The following is a 16,950-nucleotide window of genomic DNA, read 5'->3' on the forward strand; positions in this document are numbered from 1 at the left end:
TGAGGAAAAAAAAAATTCGTTTTCCAACTCCAACACAAACTACAAAATATCTGAGAAAATGTAAGCATTTAATTTTTACATGTTATTTTGCAATTATTCTAATTTACATCAAGTCTGGTTTTTAACCCATTTTTAACATAATTAGCTAAACTAGCAAAGTAAAAATTCATCATTTTATTCTAATTTACTGATGACAAAATAAACTTTACTAGACCTTTCTTGGTCAAGAAAAAACAATAATCAAGAATCAGGAATGTGCAAAGGAGTTAATTTGATAAATGTAGTAATAAATGTAAATTTGACAAGTATTTACTGTGAATCATATAAAATTATGAAGGTAAAAATGTTTAATTTGCATGAATGTGAAAAAAGTAATGAAGCAAATAATGACGAAGTTATTCCAAAGAAATAAGAAACCAAGAATTTCTATTAGTCTTTTACGTATTGAGTTTGATTTTGTGAGGTGCTAAAACCAAAGTATATTATTTCTGAATATGTATGTCTAATGAAGCAATAAACATCACCTTTTAAATGCCATTTATGTAAACCATAAAGAAGTTCAAACTAAAAAATGTTTGAAAGTATTACAAGAACCTGAAAAGTACTAATATTTCATCTGTTGGCTGTAGCCAATAGCACTTTATATTGCTAAGACTAAAAAGACATAGTTAATTGACAAAAAAGAGTCACAGACTACACATCAGAGATTTCCAATGAATCTTTGCCATGTATTCAGCACTGGTCGACCACATCGTGCAATGTACTCAGCACTGGTTGACAATATGGAGACAAACTTAGAGAACAAATAAATCTAGTAAACTATTTTTCATTGCAACTTTAGAAACGCACAGACACTGCAAACTTCAGCAATTGCTTTACCACAAGTGCAATTTGGACATATTAGTGACAGAAAGGTAGAACTGTTGGATTAGCACCATTATTTACAAGTATAATTAGCTCTGAATGGAATAAAACTAGAAAAGCTTGCATTTGTTATTATTCTATTTATTTATTTATTTATTTATTTATTTATTTATTTATTTATTTTGAGACAGAGTCTTCCTCTGTCACCCAGGCTGGATGGAGTGTATTGGCGCAATCTCGGCTCACTGCAACCTCCACCTCACAGGGTCAAGCGATTCTCTGCCTCAGCCTCCTGGGTAGCTGGGATTACAGGCGCACGTCACCATGCCCAGCTAGTTTTTTTATTTTTAGTAGAGACGGGGTTTCACTATGTTGGTCAGGCTGGTCTCGACCTCTTGACCTCAAGTGATCTGCCTGCCTCAGCCTCCCAAAGTGCTGGGATTACAGGCATGAGCCACCGTGCCTGGCCTTAAAAATTCTTACAAGTAAGCTTTGTGTAGGACTGCTGCAATGGTAGGTAATCGCTTGGAGTAGTTATTCAAATGGAGGAGTTTACACCAGAAACCTAGAAGCTGGGAAATACTGACTCCAGCCAAATAACGACAAAGACGAAATTAAAACAAAAGAAAAACGGAGACTTCATTTCTACAACTGCATGGAGCTGTATTCTGCCAACCATCTGGATGATCTTAGAAGTACATTCTTTACCAGAGCCTCCAGGTAACAGACTAGCTCAGCTGGCACCTTTTCTCCACCCCCAGCATTACTGAGCAAATGTAAGTGACAAATAAGAATTGTATATATTTATGTTGTATAATGTGATGTTTTCATATATGCATACATTGTGAAATGATTACTACAATCAGGCTAATTAATATCTCCATTACTTCAGTTATCTTTTTTTGTGTGTAGTGAGAAAATTTAAGGTCAACCCGCTGAGCCACTTTCAAGTATGTATTAACTATAGTCACCATGCTGTACAACAGATCTCCAGAATTTATTGATTTTAACTGAAACTTGTTACCCTTTGACCAACATCCCCCATTTCTACCTCCCACTCCTAGCTGTTGGCAACCATCATCCTACTCTCTGCTTCTATGAGTTTGATAGTTTTAGATTCTACGTATAAGTGAAAACATGGCATATTTTTCTTTCCATGTTGGGCTTATTTCACTTAGCACAGTGTCCTCCAAGTTCATCCATGTCATCTCAAATGACAGAATTTCCTTATTTTTAAAAGCTAAATTACATATCATTAGGTATATATACTACATTTTTGTTATGCATTCCTCCATCAATGGACACTTAGATTAATTTTATATCTTGGCTATTGTGAATAATGCTGCAATGAACATGGGAGTGCAGATGTCTCTTTGACATGCTGATTTCATTACCATTGAATACATACCCAGTAGTGGGATGGTTGGTTCCTAAGGTAGTTCTATTTTCAATTTTTTTTTTAAGGAACTTCTACAATGGCTATACTAATTTACATTGACACCAGTAGTGTACAGGGTTCCCTTTTCTTTTTTTTTTTTTAGACAGGGTCTCACTCTGTCACCCAGGCTGGAGTGCACTGGCCGCGATCTTGGGGCTCACTGCAATCTGCAACTTCCGCCTCCTGGGCTTAAGCGATCCTCCCGCTTTGGCCGCTCAAATAACTGGGACTACAGGTGTGAGCCACCACACCCATCTAATGTTTGTATGTATGTATGTATGTATTTATTTAGTAGAGATGAGTTTTCACCATGTTGCCCAGGCTGATCTCAAACTCCTGAGCTCAAGAGATCCACTCCCTGCAGCCTCTGAAAGTGCTAGGATTATGGGAGTAAGCCACCATGCCGGACCCTTCATCTTTTATTTATTTATTTATTTATTTATTTATTTATTTATTTATTTAATATACGGAGTTTCACTCTGTTGCCCAGGCTGGAGTGCAGTGGAGCAATTTCGGCTCATCGCAACCTCCACCTCCCCGGTTCGAGCGATTCTCCTGCCTCAGCTTCCCTAGTAGCTGGGATTACAGGCACCTGCCACCATGCCGGGCCAATATTTTGTATTTTTTAGTAGAGACGAGGATTCACCATGTTGGTCAGGCTGGTCTTGAACTCCTGAACTCAGGTGATCTGCCTGCCATAGCCTCCCAAAATGCTGGGATTACAGGCGTGAGCCACCGCGCCCTGCCTCATTGCTTGTGTAATAGCCATTCTAACAGTTATAAGGTGATATCTCATTGTGGTCTCAATTTGCATTTCTCTGACGATTAGTGATGCAGAGCATCTTTTCATATATCTATTGGCCATTTGTGTATCTTCTTTTGAGAAATGTCTATACAGGTTCTATGTTCATTTTTTTTAATTGTCTAATTTTTTTTTTCTATTGAGTTGTTTGAGTCCCTTAAATATAATGGATATTAACCTTTTTTTGGATGTGTGGTGTGCAAATATTTTTTTTCCATCTGCTATCTTAGTTTCAATTTGTGAGACACCAAGCAGAGAACCCAGCTGAATCTGCCTGGATTTGTGACCAAAAGAACTGTGAGATAGTAAATGAAAGTTATTTTAAACCTCTAAGTTGTTGTAATTTGTTTCGGTAGCAATAGAAAACTAAAACAAGATATCTCATAATTTAGCAATTATCATTGAAGTGGGTGATAATCTTTATATTGCAGTCTGTAAAAAGTTATCACTAAGCATCGTATTATTTGATGGAATGTTTAGATTTTATTTTCTAAAGAAGATTCACACATAAGGAGTTCATGAATCCAGAATCCATTTCTTTCTTTAAAATATAATTTGTTTGGGTGTAGAGTAATAGGAGAACTTATAGGAACTGGCTGCTGGTAAAACGTTTGACATTAAATTTTGAAAATACAGCAAAATTTTATGTTAGGCAAAAAATTTAACATTCTTAAATTGATGATATTTGAAAAAAATTTCTTCTTTGATTCCCATCATCATACTTAGGTGAGACTCATTTTTCTACTATGAATATTATTCAAACAAAATACAGAAACAGTGGAGAGATACGTTAGTTCATGCAAAGAATACTATTGAAATTCAATCCAAATTGGATAAAATTAAGAAGCATCAGAAAGATTACTGGTCACATTAAAAATTTTGATATTGATATACGTAATGTGTGTTCCCTATGTGCACATGGGTTGTTTTCTTGTTTGTTTAAAGACTTTACTTATTTATTTGTTTAGAGACAGAGTCTCACTCTGTCGCCCAGGCTAGAGTGCAATGGTGCAGTCTCTGCCCACTGTAACCTCCACCTCCCAGGTTCAAGCAATTCTCCTGCCTGAGCTACCTGAGTAGCTGGGATTACAGGCACCCACCACCAAGCCTGGCTAATTTTTGTATTTTTAGTAGAGACGGGGTTTCACCATGTTGCCTAGGATGGTCTCGAACTCCTGACCTCAGGTGATTCCCCTGCCTCAGCCTCCCAAAACATTGGGATTACAGGTGTGAGCCACCATGCCTAGCCTGACTTTACTTTTTTAGAGCAGTTTTAGAGCAAAATTGGAGAGGAAAGCACAGAAATTTCCCATATACCTCCAACTCCCATACTTGCTCAGCCTGTCCTATTATCAACATCTGGACCAGAATGGTACATGTGTTATAATTGGTAAATCTACATCAACACATCATAATTACCCAAAGTCCATAGTTTACATTAGGGTTCACTCGGTGTTGCACATTCTATGGGTTTGGACAAATGTATAATGTCATGTATGCATTATAGTATCATACAGAGTGTTTTTGATACCTTAAAAATCCTCTATGCTCTGTCTATTCATCAGCCCCAGCACCCCGACCCCCCACCATGCCTGGCAACTAGTTTTTTTACTGTCTGTAGTTTTGCCTTTTCCAGAATGTCTTATAGTTTGAATTAAACACTATGTAGCCTTTTCAGATTGGCTTATTTCATTTAGTGATATGCATTTAAGGTTCCTCCATGTCTTTTTATGACTTAATAGCATATTCATTTTTAGTGTTAAATAATATTCTACCATACTGATGTACCACTGTTTTCCATTTATCTACTGAAGGACATCTTAGTTGCTTTCAAGTTTTAAGAATTATAAAGCTGCTAAAACATTCATGTGCAGGTTTTTCTATGGACTTAAGTTTTCAACTCCTCTTGGTAAGTAACAAGCAGCATGATTGCTGTACCTTATGGTAAGAGTATTTCTTACAAAGTAAGCTTTGTAAGAAACCACCAAATTGTCTTCCAAAGTGGCCATACCATGTTTTATTCCCACCAGCATCAAATGAGAGCACCTGTTGTTCCATGTCCTTGCCCGGACGTGGTGTTGTCAGTGTTCTGACTTTTGGCCATTCTAATAGTGTGTGTAGTATCTCATTATTGCTTTAATTTGCATTTCTCTGATGACTTATGATATAGAGTATCTTTTCACATGTTTATTTGCCATCTATATTTCATCTTTGTTGAGGTGCTGTTAAGGTTTTTGGTCCATTTTTAATCATGTTGCTTGTTTTTTTCTTTTCGAGTTTCTAAGAGCTCCGTGTATATTCTGAATAACATCTTTTATCGAATGAGTCTTTTGCAAATGATTCCTCACAGTCTGTGCCTGCCTTCTCATTTTATTGGGATTGTCTTTAACAGGACAGAAGTTGAAATTTAATGAAGTCGACCTTATCAATTTTTTTTCATAGAACATGTATTTGGTGTCATATCTAAAAAGTCATCACCATATTCCAGGTCATCTAGATTTTTATCTGCATATAGATTTTTAACATATGAAATTACTCTTTCACTAATATCTTTGTTTTGTTATGATTGAGGAATGACAAAAAGTTATGAGCATAATATTTATCTCCATATTAATTAGTTACATGTATTTTCACTCATTAATATATATAATTTTGCAATTGTTTTCCTTTCCACTGTGTTATATTTGTGTAGATTATATTTACTCAAAAGCAATTTTATGTCTGTTGGTTCTAAGTATTTACATTTGATTTTTGGCTGTCTTTTTATTTTTCATTTCATGGTAATTATCTTTCATTTTAATTTTTCCATGACAATTTAGAAGTTTTAAAATTGGTACTCTACAGAGAGTTGGAAAAGCATCTTTAAAAAGTAATCATATGTCTGCTGATTCCTTACATCCTAACTCCAGACCTATTACATTTAGTCTCTGGAGTTGTCCAGGAATGTGTGTTTGTCCTGTTTTGTTTCAAGCTCCCCAGGTGAGTTTAATATGCAACCCAAGGCCTGGTGCAGTGGCTCACGTCTGTAATCCCAGCACTTTGGGAGGCTGAGGCAGGAGGATCATCTGAGGTAGGGAGTTCAAGACCAGCCTGACCAACATGGTGAAACCCCTTCTCTACTAAAAATAAAAAATTAGCTGGGTGTGGTGGCACATGCCTGTAATCCAGCTACTCGGGAGGCTGAGGCATGAGAATCACTTGAACCCGGGAGGTGGAGGCTGCGGTGAGCCAATGCTGTGCCACTGCACTCCAGCCTAGGCAACAGAGTGAGACTCTATCTCAAAAAAAAAAAAAAAAAAAAAAAAAGCAACCTAAGTAGCTTAAAGTCATTGTGTAACAAAATCAGAGCTTTGACATAAACATGAAAAGTATAAGGTTTGCAGAGATGTAGGAAGTAGAATAATCTTTTTCTTGGTCTTCTTTTATTTTGTTCTTTAGCTTTGGTCAAGTACAATCCCTTACTCTAACATAAACATTTTTCTATTATTGAGTAAAACCATATTCTAAAGCAGAAAACCTTCTCTAAAAAGAAGCTACATTAAAATTTAAACATTTATTATAGGATGAGCATGCTAGATATGTCTTTTTTTGGAAAAAAAATAGAAAATAATTAGAATCAGAAAATCTGTGTTAAAATAACTGCACTGACATTAACATATTTTTCATATTTGAGGAAGGGGGTTCAGAAGGTCACAGGAGTTAGGGAAGGAGGGAAAAAGAAAGTAAAATCACCTAAGGAGTTTTTAAATTAACCCATCTAATCTGATTTGCCTTAAAGGAGAGAGGAAAATGGGGTATGGGTAGGGGTAGAGAAGAATCTGCAAAGAGAAAGGAGGAAGAAAAGGGGTAAAGAGAGAGGGAAAAGAGAAGGGTGAGGGCAGAGTGAAATGGGGATTGTTTCAAACTATACACGACGACACTCCAACACCAGGATTCTGCCAATACCACTCTAGACGCTCTAAGAGCTCCAGCAAAGAGGTTGAGGAGGAAGGAAATGTGCAGTTCATAAAAGCCAGGGGAGGTAGTTCTTCATGGGCTCACTGGTTGAAAACCACTTGTATACGACAATTTCTCAGGCAGTGTTGATAGCCATAAAAAGACTAGAAATTTGGCCGAGGGGTGAGACTCCCAGTGATGCCTGCAAGGATTAACTGAGGACCAGGGAGGAATGTAAACAGCCACATCTGTATCTTCTATGGCAATTGCTTCCGGGAGGAGCAGGGCAGCAGGAAGGTGGGCAGGAATGCTAGGTACTTGGCTTCTGGATCCCTCTTCCCTAATTATTCAATAAGCACTCCCTACCTGTTCAAGTTTCAGTTTCTCACCTGTAAAACAGAAATGATAATATCTAAGCAGAGTTGCCTGAGGATTAAGTAAGATAAAATATTCTCCATATTGTAGGGTGTCAGTGAATGATAGCCATTTAATAGTTGAATGCGTGAGAGAGATTAAATATCTATCTTCATCCGAAAAAAGGGGGTTTGTGTTATTCATTGTTGGACCTAAATTCTCAAAGACACTTTGAAGTAGAGTGGAATATTTAAATGGTTGAGAACCATTTGCCAGAAGAGATTAGCAAAAACAAGTTACAGTTACAAGTTTAAGTGGAGTTGAATAATAGAACTTGGTCACAAATACTAATCAGTAATGGAGTTCAAACATTCAGCTTCTAAAATGCTATTTGCTAAAAAGAGAGTCTTGAACCATCTATTAAAACCTACTGCAGAAATAATTCATAACATTTCATTCCTTCTCGGGAGAGTTATATGCATAGAGCATGTTGACTTGTGAATTGTACAAAAAGGAGACAACAGTAGCATATTTCATGATATTTCATAGTCTTTAGTAACCCCAGACCATTTTACAACAGAAATAAAAAAATAAAATGAGGCTAAAAATTTTAACTTCTTCTGCTATTAAGACACATTTTTTTTACTTTGCAGTAAAATCACAATTAAATGTAAAGAAACTAAAATAAACTTGTTAAATTGGATTATTTCACTTTTACATCACTGTCAAGAAGTAGCTATAATTTTTCCTGAATCAGCAAAAGATGATGTAAAAGGAAATAATAGCTTTAAGTAAATTAAAATTATCCTTAAGATTAAAATATCCTTTTTATTTTCTACAGTCCCAAAACACAGGGTACTCATTAAATTTGTGGATAGAAATGGAAATAAAACATTAAGTGAATAAAAATGATCTGAATGATTGAATTGCTCTCCCTTTAAAATAAGCAAAACCTTCCCTAAATAATGAAATGAAAGGTTAAAAAAAAAACAACAATTATTTTAGACACCAACTATTTCTAGGACCCAGCTCTCTGCTTGCTCTAATGTTCTTGGCTTATAAAGCATCCCACTGTGGAAGATGGTCTAAAGTAGCTGCCACATTTTCTTTACCACTTCCCAGGGGTAAATTCTGATAATTTAAATAGATTTCAAAAATTTACCTTGCATATTTATCTGAAATGGCCAAAAAAATGGCTTGATTTCAGGCTTTAATTATATCAGATATGGTTTTTATATTAAATGATATTTACTCTTAAATTTATTCTAGTACAAAAAATGTAGTATCTAGAATATAGTTTCTGCTATGACCTCAGCTTTGAGATGATCTCTCCAAGGCTGACAAGAATATCCCAGTAGACAAATCCACTATGAGCTTTTCAGTACTGATCTTACCTGATCCCTCCATGGTATCTGACCCTGCCAACCACCCCTTCTGGAATTAAGTGTCTTCTTTCTCATTCATCATTACACTCCTAGGACATTTGGCTTTTCTCCCTCTCAGACTTCTGTGTGGTATGGTGGGTAAGTGTGCAATGCAGGAATCAGCAGCTTACTTTAATCCTTGCTCCAGAACAGACTATGTCTGTTTCATTGTGCAGATTACTTTAACTGCAGGTGCCTCAGTTATCTCATCTACAAATAGGGATTATATTGGTCTTGCTTGTTAATGGGACCTTACTATCCAAGTGGAAAGGAACACTTATTACTTATTATGTGTTTTTTTGTGTAATACCCTTTTAATTAATTATATAAATGGACTAAGCAATAAATACTTTAAACATGAAAATATTCCAAAATTAGTACATCAAAATGTGTGGGTTTAATTGATAACTATAAAATACAGGTTAAAAATAAATGGGGATTTATTAACCTTTGTGCATAGCTGGCCTTTTATAATAAAATACTGAAAGTACTGATTCACAATTACATAGATGTAACAATTTTTAAGCATTAAATTATAAATTACAAAGAGATACACACACACACATATATATGTTGTGGCCTTGTAATATATATATAGAGAGAGAGTACATGTGATTCTCTTAGATGTTTAAACAACCAAAAAAATACAATATCTAATATTATAATAATCAAAAGAATAACCAGCACGCTTAAACAAAAACTGCTTTTAAAATTGTTAATAAAATCATTTTAATTATTTTTATCATTATCTATTTTTATTATGCTCATTCTTTCTTTCCAGAATATCTTCCTAAGGCTTTTAGTAGTTTTATTATTATTATGCCTTTTTAGAGTTTCAACAATCTTATTATATTCTATACAAAAATATATAAAATTTTGAGCCACTCAAGGTTATAGAATCTGTGGCAGTATGGGAAAGGGTACTTATTGGGAAATATTACCTATTAACCTAGCTGCAAACATTTCTAAACAAAACATAAGAAAACCATACCTAGGGATATCAATAAAAAAGAATTCATTATAACGGAGATGGGTTTAGTCTCAGAAGAGCAAGGATGATTTAATACTGTAAAATCTATTTTTACAGACCATAACATTGGTGTATTGATGTACTTAAAGCAAAATAGTAGGAAATATTTTGATATATGCCAAAGAATAATTCCATTAAATTCAGTTTCCATTCATGATTCTAAAAACAAATAAAAAAACTTTCCAAGCTAAGAACAGTTCTCCTTATTTTAATTAAATGTATCTAGGAAAAACTAAAACAAACATGATAATTAATGATAAATCATTGGAAGCTTTATCTTAAAAGCCAGAAACCATAAAAGGGTGTCTATATCATTACTACTACTCAAAATGTAATAGGCAGTTGCAGTCAAGAATAACCTTAAAAAGAAAAAGAATAAAGAATATAAATACATGAAAAGAAGAGGGACCATATTTATTTTTTAAATATTTACATTAAAATCTCTGAAGAATCTGTACAAACAAAAAATAGATTATATCCAATTAAGAAGAGATTTCTGGATAAACAATTAATACAGAAAAGTTAGTGACATGAGTTTTAGTGCCAGTAAAGATGGCTTTTGGCTCCTGTCTCTAAAAGCAACTTTGAAGGACTAAAGAAGGAAACGTGAAATCCAAGATATTATAGATTAAAAGAAAAAATAAAACACTTGAGCTAAGCCCCTGGAGAAATGAAAAGCTATTTTAAACATGTTAGAGAAAGAGGTTTGTAAGTGCAGCTCTGTGAGAATAAATTAGTAAACAGGAGTTCGAGTTATTCTTTTTAACTACTGATAAGTATGCAACAACAAACAACAAAAATTTAGCAAAGCTATAGAAGCAATATAATTACTATGCTTGACCAAATGGACATATAGAGAATTCTATATTTATTTATTAGAGAATATACATTTTTCCCAAACACACAAGAACAATTTATCTCTCTCTTGTTTTTTCTATGTCCCCCCTATTCACAATATAGACAAGGCACAGGACCTGGGCTGAGTTGTATACGGGGTGTGTTTACTCTATCTCTTTTTTTCTGTACAGTCAATGCAAGCACACAGCTGCTTGTAAGCACCAGGAGGCCAACAATTTCTAAAACTTGATCACATGCTAGCTTAGAAAGTATGTCTTAACGAATTGCAAAATGTAGGTAATCTACATGAGTAGATTATATTCCCTGACATCAAAACACAATTGAGTTAGAAAATTATAACAAAAGGATAAATTAACTCTACATATATTGGGAAATAAAAAACACTAATTCTAGGTCACCTACGGCTCAAAAAAAGAAATAACAATGAAATTTGAAAAATATTTAGAATTAAATGATAGTAAAATACTACATATAAAAACTTATGATGTGCAAGAAAATGGCACTTCAGAGGAAATGTTACATAAACATTCATCTAACAGCAAAGGAAAGCTAAAAATTAATTAGCCAACATTACAAATGGGAAAAATAACAGCAAAGTAGACCCCAAAAAAGTGGAAGTGAAGAGAAGTTTTAAGAGCAGATATTGGTGATATACAGAACAAAATCTGAGAAAGATCAACAAAGCCAGTATGATCAAAATCATTAGTCTTTGGAAAAATTCAAATTAAAAGCATAATGAACTTCTATTTCACACTAACTAGAATTGCTAACATTAAAAAAACTGACAATACCAAATTCTGAGGAATATAGAACAATGAAACTCTAATATGTTGCTGATGGCAGTGAAAATAAGCTATAACAATGTAGGAAATCTATTTGTCTGTGCCTTTGTAAGTTAACTGTACACCTACACCCTGACCTAGAAATTCCATTCCCAAAGCAATGAAAACACTGTCATAAAAAGACTTGTACAAGAATGCCTATAGTACTGTTATTCGCAATAGTCCCAAACCAGAAACAACTCAACCATCTGTCAGTGGGAAAATGGATAAACAATTTGTGGTATGTTTATATAATAGGATTATTCTCAGTAACAACAAAGAACAAATTAATGCTACAAGCAACGACATGCATAAATCTCAAAAATACTACATTGAGTGAAAAAAGCCAAACACAAAAGTGTACATACTATGTGATTTCATATATGAGAAATTCAAGCACAGACAAAACTACTGCATGGTGATGGTCTATGGGAGGTGTAAGGATTGAATGGAAGGTGGCATGATGGAAATATTATATATTAGGGATGGTAACATGGGTATATGTATGTATCAAAACTCAATGAAACAGATTAAATTTTTAAAGATGACCACAGCAGTATCTCCCATACTGTATGTTGTGCAATGTGACCTTGCCACTCCCCCAAACAAGAGATAGAGTCTAATCCCAATACTTGTGAATCTGGGCTTAATTCAGTGACTTAGTTGACTAACAGAATGTGGCAGAAGTGACACTCTAGGACTTCAGAGGCCAAACTACTAAAACAGCCTTACAGTTTGCTCCTGGGTCTCTTGGGACATGCAGAATCCAGCCACCATGCTATGAGAAGGCAATGTCACATGGAGAGCCATGTATAGAGGATCAGGTTTATAGTTCTAACCAAGTGCGCAAGTAACAGCAAGCAGAAACTGCCAGGCATGTGAGAGAGCCATTTTGGTTGTCCAACCCAATCAAGTCTTCAGATGACTAGAGACTCAGTTGACATCAAACCACATCCTGTGGTTTAAGGAGATACCCCAAATGATAATTATCCAGAGAAGACAGTCAACTCCAAAACTGTGCGAGTTGATAAAAAAAAAAATTGTTTTAAGCCACTAAGTTATAGATAACCAGAACCCTTATTGAGTTGTATGAACACTTGTACATTTCACTATATGCAAATTTTACTTCAGTACAAATAAGATTATAAGAGAAAATACTGTATTTGAATTAGGTTTAGCGACATATAACAGAAATAAAAATAAGGGCTCAAACAGTATAGAAGCATATTTCTCTCTGATGTACGAAAATAAAAAATAAAAGAACATAAAAGTTCAAAAACAATGTAGGGTGTATTGGGCAGCTTCACAGTCATGAGACCAAGGCTCTGTCTAAATCTTCCTTTCACGGTCATTGTTAGGCCTCCCCTGACTTCAGGTTGTTCACAGGCTCATGTAGCATCACATCACTGGGGAGCTACTATTGGTCATTATGTATTATTGATCCTCATCTTCAAAGGAGCACTGTTAATCAAGTCTGCTTTTCATCCCTTTTTCATTCTCCCAGATCAGGATGCCATTATCTCTGTCCTAGATTAATACAATAACTGCTTATCTACCATTCTCCTTCTGACCTTTCTTCCCCCTGAGAAAAGAAAAATAACTCAGGGGAGTTTGAATAGTGCTGCCTCACCCATTATCTTCATGTTCTTGGAATTTGTGGCACAAGAACCAGGTATAGCTAATCAACACTTTATGTTATTTTAATGTAAGTGATTGGTAAACAGCTTAGGAACTGCCTCTTCTTTCCTTTAAAAACCCACGTGTAACTGCTGCTAATTGGAGCATATATTCAGGGCAACTTGAATCTGTCTCTTGGGTTGCAGTCCTCAAATCTGACCCAAATAAACTCTCTATATTAATTTTCTCTCCATTTTTTCCTTTAGGTTGATATTCTAGTCTCATCTTTTACATGACTCCCAAACATAAATCTCCTAATCATTTCACTCTTCTACCAGCCTTTCAGACCCTTTAATTTCAGACCCTGTAATACAACCTTATTGCCAATAAAATAAAATCCAAACTCATAGGGACTATCCAGATTCCTGGAGCATAAGGTTTGAGTATATGCTTTATATTTATATCTATTGTTTTGGGAAAAAAAGGTAGTTTTGGTTTCTATTACAAAGTCAAATTTTCTCTTTCTCTTTCTCTTTGTCTCTCTCTCTGTCTCTCCCTCTCTCTCTATACATGTGTGTGTATATACACACACACACATATTCACATATACATACGTACATATTATAAATCCTAATTGCAAACCTTTGGTGCAAAATATGTTGGAAAATGGATTATCTTATTCATTTTGGGGTACCACACTTACATTAGAAAACACCATTTGGAAATTTGCAGAGTAGTGTGAAGGGAAAGGTGAGGCAATGTAACACAATGTCCCTTTTGGAAATAGTTAAAAAAATAAAAATGTTTGGTTTGTAAAAGAGAAGTAGAGACATATAGGTGATGGGATATCATTGATGTCTCTTAAGTATGAAGGCTTTGCATATTTTGTTTAGTAACTCCTCTCTCTTCATGGTTTGTACTTCTCTACTCTGAGGGGATGTGTGTGTGTGTGTGTGTGTGTGTGTAATTTTTAATAGTCTTGCTTTGACAATTAAGTTATTAATTTATCCACAAATGAGTTCTGGCAGAAGATAAATGTAGAATTTCATTTCTATATGGATAACCATATAGATACATAGAGACATAGGTAGTTGGATAGATGAAGATTTTCTTCCATTCATGCCTGAACTTCAAGGCAGAAAGCTGAAGCTGCCTTATATTATGATTTCAGAAGACAAAAGTAAAAAGCTAAGCTTGTTGAAGAGATGACAGTAAGTGTCATATGGGGAGAAACAAAATTCTTGGGATTGTGGAGAGAGAGAGATGTCTCCTGAGACTGGAATGTAACAGAAGTCATTCAGATACATTTCCTCTGTTGGAGTAGCACTCCCAGAAGGTGACAGCACCTCAAAAGAAATGGCTGGGCCTTGTGCCTTAGGAGACAGGACCCCACAGCTTAGTAGAGGCATAAAAATCTTCCCTGGGCCTAACTGTGGCCCATAAGAGGTATGACAAACCAAAGGAGGCCATATAGATGGGACAATTGACCCAATACCCTGAGGTACCTCTCCAGTGCTTTGTTGATGCATGAGCACTGTGAAAGGAAATTAAATTTTGGGACCCCAAACTCATTTAGCCAAAAGGAAAAGTCAACCTGGGAACTGGGTCACACAAACCTGCCTCCACCTTTTGGCTGCTAAATAAGATGGCTATACAATGAAAAGGTACTTGCCTCCCCCATGTTTTGCCCACAGGGAAATTCCTGGTGAGCTGCTAAAACTTCACCATGGCAATGCAAATTGATAGCTTTATAAAAATGCAGTCAACCCAGCTCTCCAGACACAAATGCATATCTGGTTGTTCCCCTACCCCATTTGTCGGTGTTATGTAAAATGAAGATTCCCCCCATTTTTCCTTTGACCCTTTTGTTTTTGTGAAAACTGTATGCTTCTCAATATACCACCCTTTCCCTTTTAAATTTGGACCCCTCAAAATCATCTTCAGAGAAAGGCATAGACCTGTATCCCAGGCGCATCCTTAACTTTGGCAAATAAATCTCCAAAAATGATTGAGACTTGTCTTCCATTGACAGTACCCAGGACCTTTGTAAACCCTGGGGCAAGGGCAGGGCTAATAACAATTGAGAGGAAATATTCAACCAATCAAGCAAAACAGAGTCTTGGAGTAGCCAATTTAAAGAAAGTACAGAAATACTATTTATTGCATACATATATATGTTCATCAACTGATTCATAACTACTATGTAAATTTTAACTTTATAGTACTAAATTTAAAAATTGGCAATTTTTTTCAGAAATAGTAAGTATAAATATAATCTGTAATCAACACAAAACACTAATATTCAAAATACTGAAAACTGAAGCATTTAAAGTGTTTACAGGTGCTTTAGAAACCCTTGGACAAGATAGGAAGAATCAATATCGTGAAAATGGCCATACTGCTCAAAGTAATTAATAGATTCAATGCTATCCCCATCAAGCTACCATTGACTTTCTTCACAGAATTAGGAGAAAACTTCTTTAAATTTCATATGGAACCAAAAAAAGGGCCCATATAGCCAAGACAATCCTAAGCAAAAAGAACAAACCTGGAGGCATCACACTACCTGACTTCAAACGATACTACAAGGCTACAGTAACCAAAACAGCATGGTACTGGTACCAAAACAGATATATAGACCAATGAAACAGAATAGAGGCCACAGAAATAATGCCACACATCTACAACCATCTGATCTTTGACAAACCTGACAAAAACAAACAATGGGGAAAGGATTCCCCATTTAATAAATGGTATTGGGAAAACTGGCTAGCCATATGGAGAAAACTGAAACTGGACCCCTTCCTTACACCTTATACAAAAATTAACTCAAGATGGTTTAAAAACTTAAATGTAAAACCTAAAACCATAAAAACCTTAGAAGAAAACCTAGGCAATACCATTCAGGACATAGGCATGGGCAAAGGCTTCATGACTAAAACACCAAAAGCAATGGCAACAAAAGCCAAAATTGACAAATGGGATCTAATTAAACTAAAGAGCTTCTAGACAGCGAAAGAAAGTATCATCAGAGTGAACAGGCAACCTACAGAATGGAATAAAATTTTTTCAGTCTATCCATCTGACAAAGGGCTAATATCCAGAATCTAAAATGAATTTAAACAAATTTACAAGAAATAAACAACCCCTTCAAAAAGTGGGTAAACAGACACTTCTCAAAAGAAGACATATATGTGGTCAAAAAACATACGAAAAAAGGCTCATCATCACTGGTCATTAGAGAAATGCAAATCAAAACCACAATGAGATACCATATCATACCACTTAGAATGGCGATCATTAAAAAGTCAGGAAACAATGGATGCTATAGAGGATGTGGAGAAATAGGAACGCTTTTACACTGTTAGTGGGAGTGTAAATTAGTTCAACGATTGTGGAAGACAGTGTAGTGATTCCTCAATGATCTAGAACCAGAAATACTATTTGACCCAGCAATCCCATTACTGGGTATATACCCAAAGGATTATAAATCATCCTACTATAAACACACATGCACACATATGCTTATTGCAGCACTATTCACAGTAGCAAAGACTTGGAACCAACCCAAATACTCATCAATGATAGACTGGATAAAGAAAATGTAGCACATATACACCATGGAATACTATGCAGCCATTAAAAAGGATGAATTCATGTCCTTTGAAGGGACATGGATGAAGCTGGAAACCATCATTCTCAGCAAACTAACACAGGAACAGAAAACCAAACACCACATGTTCTCACTCATAAGTGGGAGTTGAACAATGAGAACATGTGGACATAGGGAGGGGAACGTCAAACAC

The 16,950-nt window shown here is 35.3% G+C and overlaps 1 protein-coding gene and 1 non-coding gene across 21 annotated transcripts in view; both read right to left on the minus strand.

The window, feature by feature from the left end:
- TMEM232 (transmembrane protein 232) overlaps positions 1-16,950 on the minus strand; it is a 351,524-nt gene that overhangs the window by 286,581 nt on the left and 47,993 nt on the right. The window lies entirely within an intron of this gene.
- Positions 10,783-10,916, minus strand: LOC124900207 (small nucleolar RNA SNORA51). The gene has a single exon (XR_007059156.1). It is a non-coding gene; the product is annotated as a small nucleolar RNA SNORA51 (small nucleolar RNA).

Source organism: Homo sapiens, chromosome 5, assembly GCF_000001405.40.
Source record: "Homo sapiens chromosome 5, GRCh38.p14 Primary Assembly".
In the NCBI taxonomy this organism is placed as follows: Eukaryota; Metazoa; Chordata; class Mammalia; order Primates; family Hominidae; genus Homo; species Homo sapiens.